Genomic DNA, 14075 nt, shown 5'->3' with positions numbered 1-14075 from the left:
TGCTCTGATTTTAGTTATTTCTTGCCTTCTGCTAGCTTTTGAATGTGTTTGCTCTTGCTTTTCTAGTTCTTTTAATTGTGATGTCAGGGTGTCAATTTTAGATCTTTCCTGCTTTCTCTTGTGGCCATTCAGTGCTATAAATTTCCCTCTACACACTGCTTTGAATGTGTCTCAGAGATTCTGGTATGTTGTGTCTTTGTTCTCGTTGGTTTCAAAGAACATCTTTATTTCTGCCTTCATTTCATTATTTACCCAATAGTCATTCAGGAGCAGGTTGTTCAGTTTCCATGTAGTTGAGTGGTTTTGAGTGAGTTTCTTAATCCTGAGTTCTAGTTTGATTGCACTGTGTTCTGAGAGACAGTTTGTTATAATTTCTGTTCTTTTACATTTGCTGAGGAGTGCTTTACTTCCAACTATGTGGTCAGTTTTGGAGTAGGTGTGGTGTGGTGCTGAAAAGAATGTATATTCTGTTGATTTGGGGTGGAGAGTTCTGTAGATGTCTATTAGGTCTGCTTGGTGCAGAGCTGAGTTCAATTCCTGGGTATCCTTGTTAACTTTCTGTCTCGTTGATCTGTCTAATGTTGACAGTGGGGTGTTAAAGTCTCCCATTATTATTGTGTGGGAGTCTAAGTCTCTTTGTAGGTCACTAAGGACGTGCTTTATGAATCTGGGTGCTCCAGTATTGGGTGCATATATATTTAGGATAGTTAGCTCTTCTTGTTGAATTGATCCCTTTACCATTATGTAATGGCCTTCTTTGTCTCTTTTGATCTTTGTTGGTTTAAAGTCTGTTTTATGAGAGACTAGGATTGCAACCCTTGCCTTTTTTTGTTTTCCATTTGCTTGGTAGATCTTCCTCTATCCCTTTATTTTGAGCCTATGTGTGTCTCTGCACATGAGATGGGTTTCCTGAATACAGCACACTGATGGGTCTTGACTCTTTATCCAATTTGCCAGTCTGTGTCTTTTAATTGGAGCATTTAGCCCATTTACACTTAAAGTTAATATTGTTATGTGTGAATTTGATCCTGTCATTATGATGTTAGCTGGTTATTTTGCTCATTAGTTGATGCAGTTTCTTCCTAGCCTTGATGGTCTTTACAATTTGGCATGTTTTTGCAGTGGGTGGTACTTGTTGTTCCTTTCCATGTTTAGTGCTTCCTTCAGGAGCTCTTGTAGGGCAGGCCTGGTGGTGACAAAATCTCTCAGTATTTGCTTGTCTGTAAAGTGTTTTATTTCTCCTTCACTTATGAAGCTTAGTTTGGCTGGATATGAAATTCTGGGTTGAAAATTCTTTTCTTTAAGAATGTTGAATATTGGTCCCCACTCTCTTCTGGCTTGTAGAGTTTCTGCCAAGAGATCAGCTGTTAGTCTGATGGGCTTCCCTTTGTGGGTAACCCGACCTTTCTCTCTGGCTGCCCTTAACATTTTTTCCTTCATTTCAACTTTGGTGAATCTGACAATTATGTGTCTTGGAGTTGCTCTTCTCGAGGAGTATCTTTGTGGCATTCTCTGTATTTCCTGAATTTGAATGTTGGCCTGTCTTGCTAGATTGGGGATGTTCTCCTGGATAATATCCTGCAGAGTGTTTTCCAACTTGGTTCCATTCTCCCCGTCACTTTCAGGTACACCAATCAGACGTAGATTTGGTCTTTTCACATAGTCCCATATTTCTTGGAGGCTTTGTTCATTTCTTTTTACTCTTTTTTCTCTAAACTTCTCTTCTTGCTTCATTTCATTCATTTCATCTTCCATCACTGATACCCTTTCTTCCAGTTGATCGCATCGGCTACTGAGGCTTCTGCATTCATCACGTAGCTCTCGTGCCTTGGTTTTCAGCTCCATCAGGTCCTTTAAGGACTTCTCTGCATTGGTTATTCTAGTTATCCATTCAACTAATTTTTTTTTCAAAGCTTTTAACTTCTTTGCCATTGGTTCAAATTTCCTCCTGTAGCTCGGGGTAGTTTGATCATCTGAAGCCTTCTTCTCTCAACTCTCAAAGTCATTCTCCATCCAGCTTTGTTCTGTTGCTGGTGAGGAGCTGTGTTCCTTTGGAGAAGGAGAGGTGCTCTGATTTTTAGAGTTTCCAGTTTTTCTGCTCTGTTTTTTTTCCCATCTTTGTGGTTTTATCTACCTTTGGTCTTTGATGATGGTGACGTACAGATGGGTTTTTGGTGTGGATGTTCTTCCTGTTTTGTTAGTTTTCCTTCTAACAGACAGGACCCTCAGCTGCAGGTCTGTCGGAGTTTGCTAGAGGTCCACTCCAGACCCTGTTTGCCTGGGTTTCAGCAGCGGTGGCTGCAGAACAGCAGATACTGGTGAACCGCAAATGCTGCTGCCTGATCGTTCCTCTGGAAGTTTTGTCTCAGAGGAGTGCCCGGTCGTGTGAGGTGTCAGTCCGCCCCTACTGGGGGTGCCTCCCAGTTAGGCTACTCTGGGGTCAGGGACCCACTTGAGGAACCAGTCTGCCCGTTCTCAGATCTCAAGCTGCGTGCTGGGAGAACCACTACTCTCTTCAAAGCTCAGTTGGAAATGCAGAAATCACCCATCTTCTGCATCACTCACGCTGAGAGCTGTAGACCAGAGCTACAGTGGAAGCTTTTTACTCTAAAACTGTTCTTAAAAATAAACTCTATTTAAAAGAAAAAAAAAAAAAACTTTCCACAGAGAAAACTCCAGACCTAGGTGGCTCTACTGGTGATATCTACCAAATATTTAAGAAAGACTCACACTAATTCTATACAAACTCTTCTTGAAAATTGAAAAGGAAGGAATACTTCTCAACTCATTTTGTGAGGGCAGCATTATGCTGATACCAAAACCAGACAAAAACTTTACAGGAAAAGAAAAATATGGATCAATATTCCCCATTACAAACACAGATGCAGAAATTCTAAACACAATTTTAACAAATCAAATCCAACAATATACAAAAAAGATAATTAATTCATCATAACTAAGTGGGGTTTACCACAGCAATACAAGGTTGGTTTAATAGTCAAAAATCGATCAATGTAATTCTCTAAAGTAACAGACTGAAAAAGAAAAACCATATGATTATGTCAATAGATGCAGGAAAAGCATTTGATAAAACTCAAATACCCATTCCAGATTAAACTCTTAGTAAATTAGGAATACAAGGAAATTTCCTCAACCTGATAAAAAGACCTCTATGAAAAAACCTACTGCTAACAGCAAACATCATCCTTAATGAGTAAAGGCCACTTTTCTTCTAAGATCAGGACCACGCCAAGAATATCTGCACTCACCACTTCTACCCAACATTGTACTAGAGGCTGTAGCCCATGCAACAAGGCAAGAAAAAGAAACAATAGCATCCAGTTCAGAAAGAAACAAGACTGTCATTATTCACAGAGGCATCATTATCTGTGTAGAAAACCCTACATATATTTGGCAAAAGATGTATAAGGCCTATACAATGCAAACTACACAACATTACTAAAATAAATTAGAGAAGACCTACATACATGAGGTGATATACTGTGTTATGAGTCCTTAATACATGGAGTTACATTGTGTTTCATAGTTCAGGTGATGCAATATCATTAAAATGTCAATTCTCCCCAAATGGATCTACAGATTCAACACAATCACAGTCAAAATCCCAGCAGACTTCTTTGGTAAAACTTAACAAGTTGATCCTAAAATGCATATTGAAATGCCAAGGATTAGAATAGTCAGAACAATTTTGAAACAGAATAACAAACTTTAAGGATGTACACTACCTAATTTCAAGAACAGTGGAAGGAGTGGAAGAGGAGGAAAGGATTGCAAAGAGGTATTAAAAAATTTTTGGGGTGATGGGTATGTTCATTATATTGAGATGGTGATGGTTTTACAGATACATACATATCAAATTGTTGACTTTAGTATGCATAGTTTACATATGTAAATTATACCTCAATAACGCTGAAAATAATCTCATGCTGTCCTCATGTCCAATTCTTTTGAGGTAGTCATATTATAATTTCCATTTTACTGATACAGAAACTGAGACTCAGAGAGGCTAAGTGACTTGACCATGGTCACAGAGATAAAAATCCAGGTCCTTCTCTCTCCAGAGCCCAAGCTCTTAAGCTTTAAGCCATACAGGTGGAAATGCTTTTCTACACACCTGTCATTCATCAAACAAGTATTGACAAGTATTGATCCTGTCATGTACCAGACACTGCTTACTCACTGCTTGCCATGAGGGATATAGCAATGACAGATGAGGTCCTACCCTTGGGAAGCTTTACATACTGCTGAGCCCAGAGCCCTTCTCAGCTTGACTTATCAGCGCTGCCTATTGCTTTTCTCCTTATTACTTCCCAGACTTCTCTCAAAAATTAAGAAACAATTTGTGAGTTTCTGCCATGTGCGAGGTCCATTCTAGGCCCCCTCTTCCACAATCTTCTTAACCATCATAACACTATGAGATGGGTATCATTTCCACTTTACAGAGAAGAAAACAGAGACACAGAAAGATGAGGGAACTTGCCTATGATCACACAGCTACAGAGTAGCAGAGCCAAGTTTCAAATGCAGACCTTCCTGCCTCCAAAACTTATGATCCTCTCACTACCCCAAACTTCCTGGGATCATGTAGTTGTTCCTATGACAAGAGTTCAAACAAACCCTCTTTTCCTTGCAGACAAAAATCCCAACCAGGCACCAAGTCCCTATGGATGAAAACAGCTGTTCACCAAAGGCTCTGTTTTGTGTTATTTATTCACTTAAAAGGAAATTTGGTTTCTAACCAACACTAATGTCATATCCATGCTCAAGAAGGAAAAAAAAAATGAGTCTCGAAGTTGCAAAGTGTTGGATCAAATGTGCTGCTGGCCTGTGTGTGCAGCCAGTTCAGACTCCTGCCCCAGTAGCCTCTCCCCACCCTTCAGGCAGGCCTTATCCTGCGGCTCAGAGAGGAACTCCAGCCCCTACTCTTATCTCCACCATGAAATAAATGGAGTTGGGGAATTCCTTTTCTACTCTGTTTCCACTGTGACAAGAAACTGTTAAAACAGACCAATTTCTAGAAAATGTGCAAATAACAAATGTGAACTCAGAGCGGTAACAAATTAGACAGCTGTTTAGCCTTTGGGTGCTAAGTAACGATAGCTCTAATGAGTCTTATGCTGGGAGCCCTCCTTTCTATGCCTTGGCCCCAACTTGTGGACACCAAGACTGCCCCTACCACCTAATCCAGTTTTTTGAACAAAGAGAGGCAGATAGCATAGAAGTGGAAAGGATTCAAGGGATTTTAGTATTATTACTACTGCTACATCCTAAATGTATTCGACAAAAAACAAACAACATCAGGCACTGCATTAGATCACAGGAGTCAGGGATGAAGAGTAGTGGCATGATCTCTGCATTCCTGGAGTTCACAAACCAGGAGGGAAACAGACTTTGAACTCATAATTCAAACTTTTAAAAGTCGTAATATTTCAGTACGAGGGTGCAAAGTGCCATACGTAAGAAGTATGAGGCGGCTATGAGAGGGAGCATGAGAAGGAGGAGCACTACCTCGGAGCTCTGACTGCTCATCATCTCCCGGAGGCAGAGCAGAGCATTCCCGGCAGAGGGCACAACCTGTGCGGAGGTGCTGAGACAGGAGTGAACACCAGGGAGGCTGTGGTGTGCACACAAAGTGGTGAACTGGAGCAGGAGAGAGTCGGGAGGTCTGCTGCTGGCCTATTTCACAGAGCCTGGGAGGCTGCATGAAGGCGGATCTGCATCCTAGGAGCAGTGGGTAGCCACAGAGGGCGCTAAGCAGGGCAGGGACATGGTCAGACTTTGGCTTTAGAAAGATGTCTCTGGTTCCAAAGAGGAGGCTGGGGGATGGAACTCAATGTGAGGAGACATGAAAAGGCTGCTGCCATCATTCAGGGGAGGGATGGCAGTGGATTAGACTAGGTTGGTGTAGCAGAGAGAGATGGTCTGAGAAAACTGCCCAGCATGTGACCTGAGAGAGGGGTTTTAATGATGTCAGGGAAACCAATCTCCACTTTACAAATGACTGCCTGCTGGCCACATTCTTCCCTCTCCGAGGGCCAAACACTGATTCCAAGGAGCAGCAAAGACACACAGGGTTTGTCCGACGTCCAACATTGACCTCGGCTTTCTGGAACGCCCGCTTCTTCAGAGCAGGCAAACGGCATCCAGACAAAAGGCCAGAGGGTCAGGTTCCTGGACCCACAGGCAGTGTTTTCCTGAACTGCAACGTGTCATGTGGCCTGGAGGAAACTGTGGACTTCTGCAGGGAGTCTTCCATTCTGGCAGGCCAGCCTTTCTGCAAACCAGAAAAGGACCCAACAGATGCTGGTCAAGTCAAGCTCAAGGTCTCGAGCTCCAGCCTGATGCAGGAAGGGTGAAATCGAATCCCTCTAGAGTAAGTGTCCCACAGGAATATGTATTTTATCTGCAGAATGCCTCCTTTGTCCCAAAACATTTCTGTTAATGCTGCTCCCACCTCCTCATTCTAACCAGAACTGCCTTTTCCTTAAAACACACTTAGGAGGAACTTAGCAGGTTCCCTCCAGGGCCACAGACAATGAGGACTAGAGGGAGAGGACCAGCAGGCCCACCCAGACCACCCCTGGCCTGCCTTCCACTAACACTGAGCACCTGGTCCGTGCCTCAAACCCAGGAATAGATACTGGGGATGTTCTGGTTCCTCACCTCCAAGGCCCACAGTCCAGGCCCACAGCTTGTCTTCAGGGAGGCCCAAGCCGGGTCCTAACACCTCTACTTCCCCTCCACGCTGCTGTATGCTCTCCCACCATGATGCTCCCTTACCTGTAGCTCTGGCTTGAGTCTTCCCCTCCTCCCATTCTCCTGTTGTCATCTCTACACACTTCACTAAACTTCTCACTTCTGGGTGCCCCCATGCCTCAACCTCTTCTGTGCTTCACAAAGGCACTGCCATCACACCTTCAAGCACAGTCACCAGAGCCACCCCACCTCAAAGACCCTGAACTCTGAAATCCTCCTCCCTCCATTATTTCCTGGCTTCCCTCCCCTTCCCCTAACCAAATCTGTGCTTTGCTCTCTTCTTGACTTTTGGTCCTTCAGCGATGATGATGATGATGATGATGATGCTGATGATGATGATGATAAGGTGGGGTCTTGCTATGTTGCCCAGGCTGGCCTCAAACTCCTAGGCTCAAGTGGTCCTCCCACCTTGGCCTCCTGAGTCCTTCAGCCTTTTTTCAGGCCATCGGCTGTCTCTGGCCCTTCTGGCCTCCCTCCCTAAAGGCAACATTGCTGATCACCCTGCTTGACTTAACTAGGCCTCCTCCTACCTCTAGGGCCACTTTCTGTGCATCCTTCCTTGCCCCTTGTTCTTCCTGCTGCTCCCTAAGTGGGCAGCCCACTTTTCTCCAGACACAACTACAGCCTGCTTCCTCTCATCTTGGCCCTTGCAGCAGCCTCACAACCAGTATAACATCAGGCCCTGCCCTTCTCTCCAGTGTGACCACCTTGCCTCATGCAGACTGCTGCAAAATCCTCCTAACTAGTCTCCCTGACTACAGGTGGTTCTGTCTCAGTTGAAATGAACATCTTAAAATACAAATCTGTCCACGGTGCTCCCCTTTTAAAATCCTTCAGAGGGCTGGGTATGGTGGCATACACCTGCAGTCCCAACTACTTGGGAGGCTAAGGTGGGAGGATTGCTTCAGCCCAGGAGTTTGAGGCTGCAGTGAGCTATGATCATGCCATTGCACTTTAGCCTGGGCAACATAGCAGGACTTTGTCTCTATTTTTTGTTTTTTTAAATCTCTCAGTGAATGCTCAGGGCTAACAAGATAAAGCTCAAACTCCTTAGTCAGGCACATCTAAGCCTCCCTTCCAAGCCTCACTGCCGTCTCCTGCCCAGCTCAAACTGCCTGGCCCAACCTGGCTCTCTTGACACGTGTCCATGCTCCTCAAAGATGCCAGGCCTTGTATGGCCAGGTTTCAGTGCAAGGCCTCTCAATCTCTCACCCCCGCCAGGCTTGAGGCTCTTCCTTTCTTGCCACCTCCTCTGCTGCTGACCTCACCACTGGTCCTTGTATTTCCTGGCCACTCATCCTCTGGATTTTGGTCCTGGTCTTGCAGGAGAGACCTAGATACACTTCTCCCGTCATGACAGACTCCTCACTGTTCTCCAAACACCCATATGCAACTGAATCTTTCTGCTTTTGCGATGCTCTTGGCCACCCCGTTCTCCTGGCTTCCTTATTCAAACATCCCTTCTGTGGGACATGCTCCTTGCCTTCTGCCCATCCTCACCCTCACTCTTTCCTTGATACGCTAGCGCCCCACCCCTGAACACTTCTTGTTTACTATTTATTTACATGTCTGCCTGACTCAGGTTGAATTGTGCCGAGGTCCCCTTCATCGTTTCTCCAGCATTTAGCACAGTAGACTGATGAATGAGTAAATGAGTGAAGGCAGAGCTGACTACTGGGAAATCTGACAGTGGGGATGGAACAATGTTGGCAGGGGCAGTGAGAAGACTGGAAAAAACACGAGCACTTAGGAAAGCTTTCCACCTCACTGAAATTGGTACCCACTGCAGTTCGTTTCTATCACACTGAGGCCCACCGTACACCATGCCCCAGCTGCCAGTCGGCAAGGGAATGAAACACTGACTTCTGGTAAGCCTTTGGCATGTACCAGTATCCCTGGCAATGATGCTCTGGCAGAGCACAGAACTGAGGGAAGAGCAGGTTCTCCTTTTCTTCTCTCAAGAGCACCAGGCACCAAAAGTAGTATTAAATTTTGCTGAGCACATCACCTGTCTTTCCAAAGGGTTATTCATTCTGCCTGAAATTCCCTTTCCAACTGCCCCCCAACTCCCCAAATCACCAATAAGAGATGATCTCTTTCAGCCTTCAAGGCCTAGTGATAATGTCACAACCCCAAGATTGAGTGAGTTCCCCATATGATGTTTGCAGGGCTCCTAGGGCACCATGGTGTATGTCTTGGTCCAGACCTCAGCCTCCCAGCTATCCAGGGCACCAGGATGTGAACCGAGCTCTGAAGGATCCCAGGTACCATGCTCTTAAACACTCTGCTACACAGGTATCACCTCCTCTGGGACACTGGCTCCGGCACAGGCATCATCTGAATATTCTGAGCAACAACCTCCCATCTATAACCCACAGTGCCTATTCAAACTATACATTGGTGAAATGATAGCCACGCATGACTAGGAGCTTGCTTTGTACAGGCACCGCGCTAAGTTCTTACATGCCCACTGTAAGGTAAAAGCTATGACTTCCACCCCCCGCCAACTTTACACATGAGAAAATCAAGGCATAAAGAAAATACATGACTTGTCCTAAGTCTCCAAGCTAGAGGGGTGAGGCTGTGACTCAACCTCAGCTTCATCAGATCAAAGTTCATGCTCTTCAAGCTGTGTGGCTTTAACAGACCCAGCAGCTCAGCTCTGACAGAACCCTGGGCTGAATAAAGCACAGGCTGTGCCCATTTTCAGCACATTCTAAGAACAGCAGTTTCCCCTTGATGCTGCTCCATGCTAAAACTAATGACAAAAACAGTTCTGACATTTAGACCAGCCTCTGAGACACTGCTGCGCCTTCAACTCCATAGGCTGGGAACTGGACATACTGACAGACAGATGTGGTAAGGAGCTCTGGTAGAGACAAAACACCACCTTGAAAACATACCCTTTTAGAAGGCTGCTACCACCAGGACCTTCAGACAGACCTCCTTTACAATGCAGCCCTTGCCCCAAGCCCTGGCAGCCAGGAATCCACCCAGGAATCTACCCTGCAACCCAATCCACCACAGTGGCAATGGGGTTCTAGGCCACAACTTGTAAGTTCAACACAGCTGTGAGATATTATGCTACAAAGCTATATCTGCATTAATACACCAATTTTTGATAAACTTGGTCACTCGTTAGAGTCACCAGGGGACAGGGCAGTTATGGTTCCATATTTGTAACTTCCATTTTCCTTACTCTCTGCCAATCCTTAACTCACCGTCTGCCTGGCTTCCTCTAAGCCCTGAAATGATGTTCTTTGTGGTCCCCCTTGCAGAAACCAGCAGAAGTCATGAAAAGCCACAGCTCCACCCTCAGTTATCAACTGCATTTGGAAATGTGAATCTTCAAAAGGCTGAGCTCACCAGGAAATACCCTTGCTTTGCGGGAAGTGGTTACACCACAAAACAAGACACCCTGGTAATATCGCTCCTTTGGTTGGCACACGCCCTCGCTTGGCAGTGTGCCTAAACACAGCCAGATAATGTTCTGCTATGGCGCTTCCCCTTTCAGGCATCCATTCACACTCCACTCATTCAACAAATATTTATTATGTACTGTGTTCCAGGTACTGGGATTACAACAGGGTATCTCAGTATGCAGACCCTCTAGAACCAAATTAGCATAACCCTCCTTTTCTGTCCTGGTGCTTCCAAAGACCTTTAAGGGAAAAGTCCAGGGGAGAGGCCCACTTGGGTATGTAAGTAGTAGGAAAGAGAGAAGACAAGAAGTAAAAGAACTAACTGCAAGAAAATGTTAAAATTTGACCAGCAGTCTACTGCTTAGTAGTAATATTCGTATTATTATTTTTAAATTATTTTACATATATATGACGGGATAATATAAAGTAAGTAATGTTGCTAGGAACCAAAATTGTCACTGTAAAATAAAATATATAAATATCAAGGGAATTAAGTAACAACTCTATAATGTTATATTTGAATTGGAAAGATCAGTATTATATTAGTCAAATTTTTACAAGATAATGTAGTATAACGAGCAATCCTCAAATCTCAGATGCTTACAACAGCAACATTTATTTCATGCTCATAGGTCTGTAGATGATGCAGCTCAGCTCAGCTCTGCCAGGTTGGCTTTGGCTTGTCTCAGTGTGGAATCTAGACTTCGGGTCAGTTCAGGTCAACTGTAATGTCCTCATTTGGGGACTGAAGATAAACAAGCAACAGTTACCGATACATCATGGAAAAGGAAAGTTCCAAGACAGCTGGCCAAAGCTTGCCACGCCTCTCAGCAGCTCAGCTCAGATCTGCACACTGCCATGCTGCCCACATTCCATGGGCAAAACCAAGTCACAGGGCCAAGCCCAAAGTCAATAGGGTGGGGAGATATACACCACCCACAGTGAAGGTATGACAAGGAGTAAGTTGAGAAGGAAGAATTATGGAGAAATAATATCATCTACCCTAACTATGAACTCATGACATTTTCCTTTTAAAAAATAACTGTTTACTAGCTCTGTCCATGGCAAAGGCCTAAAAGCAATGGCAACCCAGTAATACTAAGCAGTCTTCACCCAGATTATGGTTTCTAAATATTATTCCCCACTAAAAGAAACCCCCTGAAGGAATGCCTAATTCCAGGTCTGCAGCAGAAAATATACAACATAACCCTGGGGATCTTGTTGGGCCAAAAAGCAGGGAAGTGATCAAAAATGAGTGGGATCACATTAAAAGGATACAGGAGCCAACATAAAAGGGATCCAACTGGTCAAAGACAGGACAATTTGTATATCAAAAAGAATGGTGACTATAACTGACTGAAACACACAGGACGTATAATAAATATCCACAAGTTCATTATGATGGAGGAGACAGACTGCTCACCAAAAACAAAACAAAGCAGTTACACACCCACAAGTCACCATTAAAGGTAAGTGGGGCACCACCTGCTTACTCTGAAAATTGATAATTAAAAGGAAAGAATTAAGTATGTACAAGTAGCCCTAGCTGATGAGGAAAAATTCTTCTTAAGAATTTCAGCTATAAGAGTCAGGCGTGGCAGCTCATGCCTGTAATCTCAGCTACTGGGGAGGCTGAGGCAGGATAACTGCTTGAGGCCAGGAGTCCAAGACCAGCCTGGGCAACACAGTGATACGTCTCTTCAAATATTTTTTAAAAATTAGCCAAGCATGGTGGCACATGTCTGTAGTCCTAGATTCTCAGGAGGCTGAGGCAGAGGATGGCTTGAGCCCACAAGTTTGAGGCTGCAGTGAGCTATGACCACACCACTGCATTAGAGCCTAGGTGACAGAGCAAGACTCTGTCTCTGAAAAAGGAAAAAAAGAAAGAGAGAAAAGTCACCATTTTGCTAGGACCAATAAAATACTCAATTCAGGCAAAGATCATTGACAGATGAAATAATTAGGTAAAAGGTAGATGGGGAACTTTACAATGAAGGAATAAAACAGTCACCACCTGAACCCATCAATGAATCTTCACATGACACAGAGCAAAACAACTGGGTGTCTCCTAATGTGACATGTGATACAAAGTACCCAGCACCACCTAGGACACACTCTTCCCAAAAAGACTGACCCAAAATCCAATCAAGCCTCTTGGGTTAACTTCTAGTTGAAACAAAATAGGCGACAAGTGAACAAGTTAAACCACCAAGAAGAAGCAGAATATTTACAATTTAGAATATTACAGAGTGCGACTAACCTTTCAATAAGTTAAGCGCATGAGGGAGGAGAGGGAGGATGGACTACACTAGAATAAAAAGGAATTTGAGAAACGTAACAACCAACCAAATGCAATGTGCAGGCCCTGGAATTGTCACTGCTATTAGTGGGTTTTGTTTGTTTTTGAGACAATTGGGGAAATTTGAAATTCCCCCAATTTGATCCTAAAGAATTATTGCTAATTTTGTTAAGTGTGATAATGCTATTGTGATTATGGTAGAAAATAACTTTTTAAAGAGCTACATCTGAAGTTTGAAGGAGGGAAATAATAGGATGTTAGGCATTTGCTTTCAAAATTTCCAGGAATAAATAAAAAGAAAAAAAGAGGTAAATGAAGCAAAGATGGCAATTGTTGGATCTAGGTAACAGGTATACAAAGGTTCATTTTACCACTCTTCCTATATAAACCCAGTATGTGCATACACATATCTATTCAAAATTGTTAACAATAAGAAATGTTTAAAAAGAATAGGGCTGGGCGCAGTGGCTTACATCTGTAATCCCAGCACTTTGGGAGGCCGAGGCGGGCAGATCACCTGAGGTCAGGAATTCGAGACCAGCCTGGCCAACGTGGTGAAACCCCATCTCTACTAAAATTACGATAATTAGCCGGTCGTGGTATCAGGTGCCTGTAATCCCAGCTACTTGGGAGGCTGAGGCAGGAGAATTGTTTGAACCCGGGAGGCAGAGATTTCAGTGAGCCGAGATCATGCCACTGCACTCCAGCCTGGGCAACAAGAGCGAAACTCCACCTCAAAAAAAAAAAAAAAAAAAAAAAAAGAAGAAGAAGAAGAAGAAGAAGAAGAAAAGAAGAGAAGAAGGGGAAGGGGAAGAGGAAGAAGAAGAAGAAGGAGGAGGAAGAAAGAAGGAAGAAGAAGAGGAAGAAGAAGGAGGAAGAAAGAAGGAAGAAGAAGAAGAAGAAGAGGAAGAAGAAGAAGAAATATTTTAAAAGAATAAGAAGGAGAGGAAGGGGAACTGAGAGGCAAGAAGACAGGAGAACAGCAGGGCAGGGGGCTGAGGCAGGAAGGCATGTATCTAGAGCAAGCCAGAGACTGACATAAAGGGAAACTGGTGGGTGACAACCACAGTCACAGCCACAACAACAACAACAATAGTAATAATAGCAGCAAACTCTGAATAAAGACTTTAACCGCTCAACACAATGCCTGGTATGCACTACACGTTCAAAAATGGTGGTTGTTGTTTTAATAGGTTCCAGCCTCTGTGCTAAGTACTCTATATGCATTATCTCATTTCATTCTCCAAATAAACCCTATGACGGAGGTACTCTTCCTATCACCACTCTATGAATGAGGAAACCAAAACTTAGAGAGGTGACGTGACTTACCCAAGGTCACATAGCTGGGGCACTGGCAGAGGCAGAACTGTGAAAGTTCTGGAGTTAGACTAACTGTATTTGACCTTCTGACCTGAGGCCTGTGGTAGGCAGTCTCCAAGGGGTCCCCCACTTCCTACTTGCTGGTGTCCAGCTCTTGTATAGTGCCCCCCTTGGTGAAGAGGGCTGATCTGTGATACTAATAGGATACTGTGCAAATGACAGTATGTGACTTCTGAGCCAGGTCACAAAAGTCCTTG

General features: G+C 44.0%; 1 protein-coding gene across 56 annotated transcripts in view; it reads right to left on the bottom strand.

Moving 5' to 3' along the window:
• RALGPS1 (Ral GEF with PH domain and SH3 binding motif 1) overlaps window positions 1-14075 on the bottom strand; it is a 308385-nt gene that overhangs the window by 226979 nt on the left and 67331 nt on the right. The window contains exon 5 of one of the 56 annotated variants that reach the window (NM_001366399.1): window positions 5965-6295. The exons of the other annotated variants lie outside the window; for them this stretch is intronic. Coding sequence (NP_001353328.1) covers window positions 6185-6295 — 111 coding nt within the window. The 3' untranslated portion in view covers window positions 5965-6184. Of the gene's footprint in view, window positions 1-5964; window positions 6296-14075 lie in introns of those variants that run through there. 56 annotated transcript variants of the gene reach the window in all.

Source organism: Homo sapiens, chromosome 9, assembly GCF_000001405.40.
Source record: "Homo sapiens chromosome 9, GRCh38.p14 Primary Assembly".
Lineage (NCBI taxonomy): Eukaryota > Metazoa > Chordata > Mammalia > Primates > Hominidae > Homo > Homo sapiens.
The sequence above is the reverse complement of the archived record's forward strand: the minus strand, read 5'-3'. Positions and strand labels throughout refer to the sequence as shown.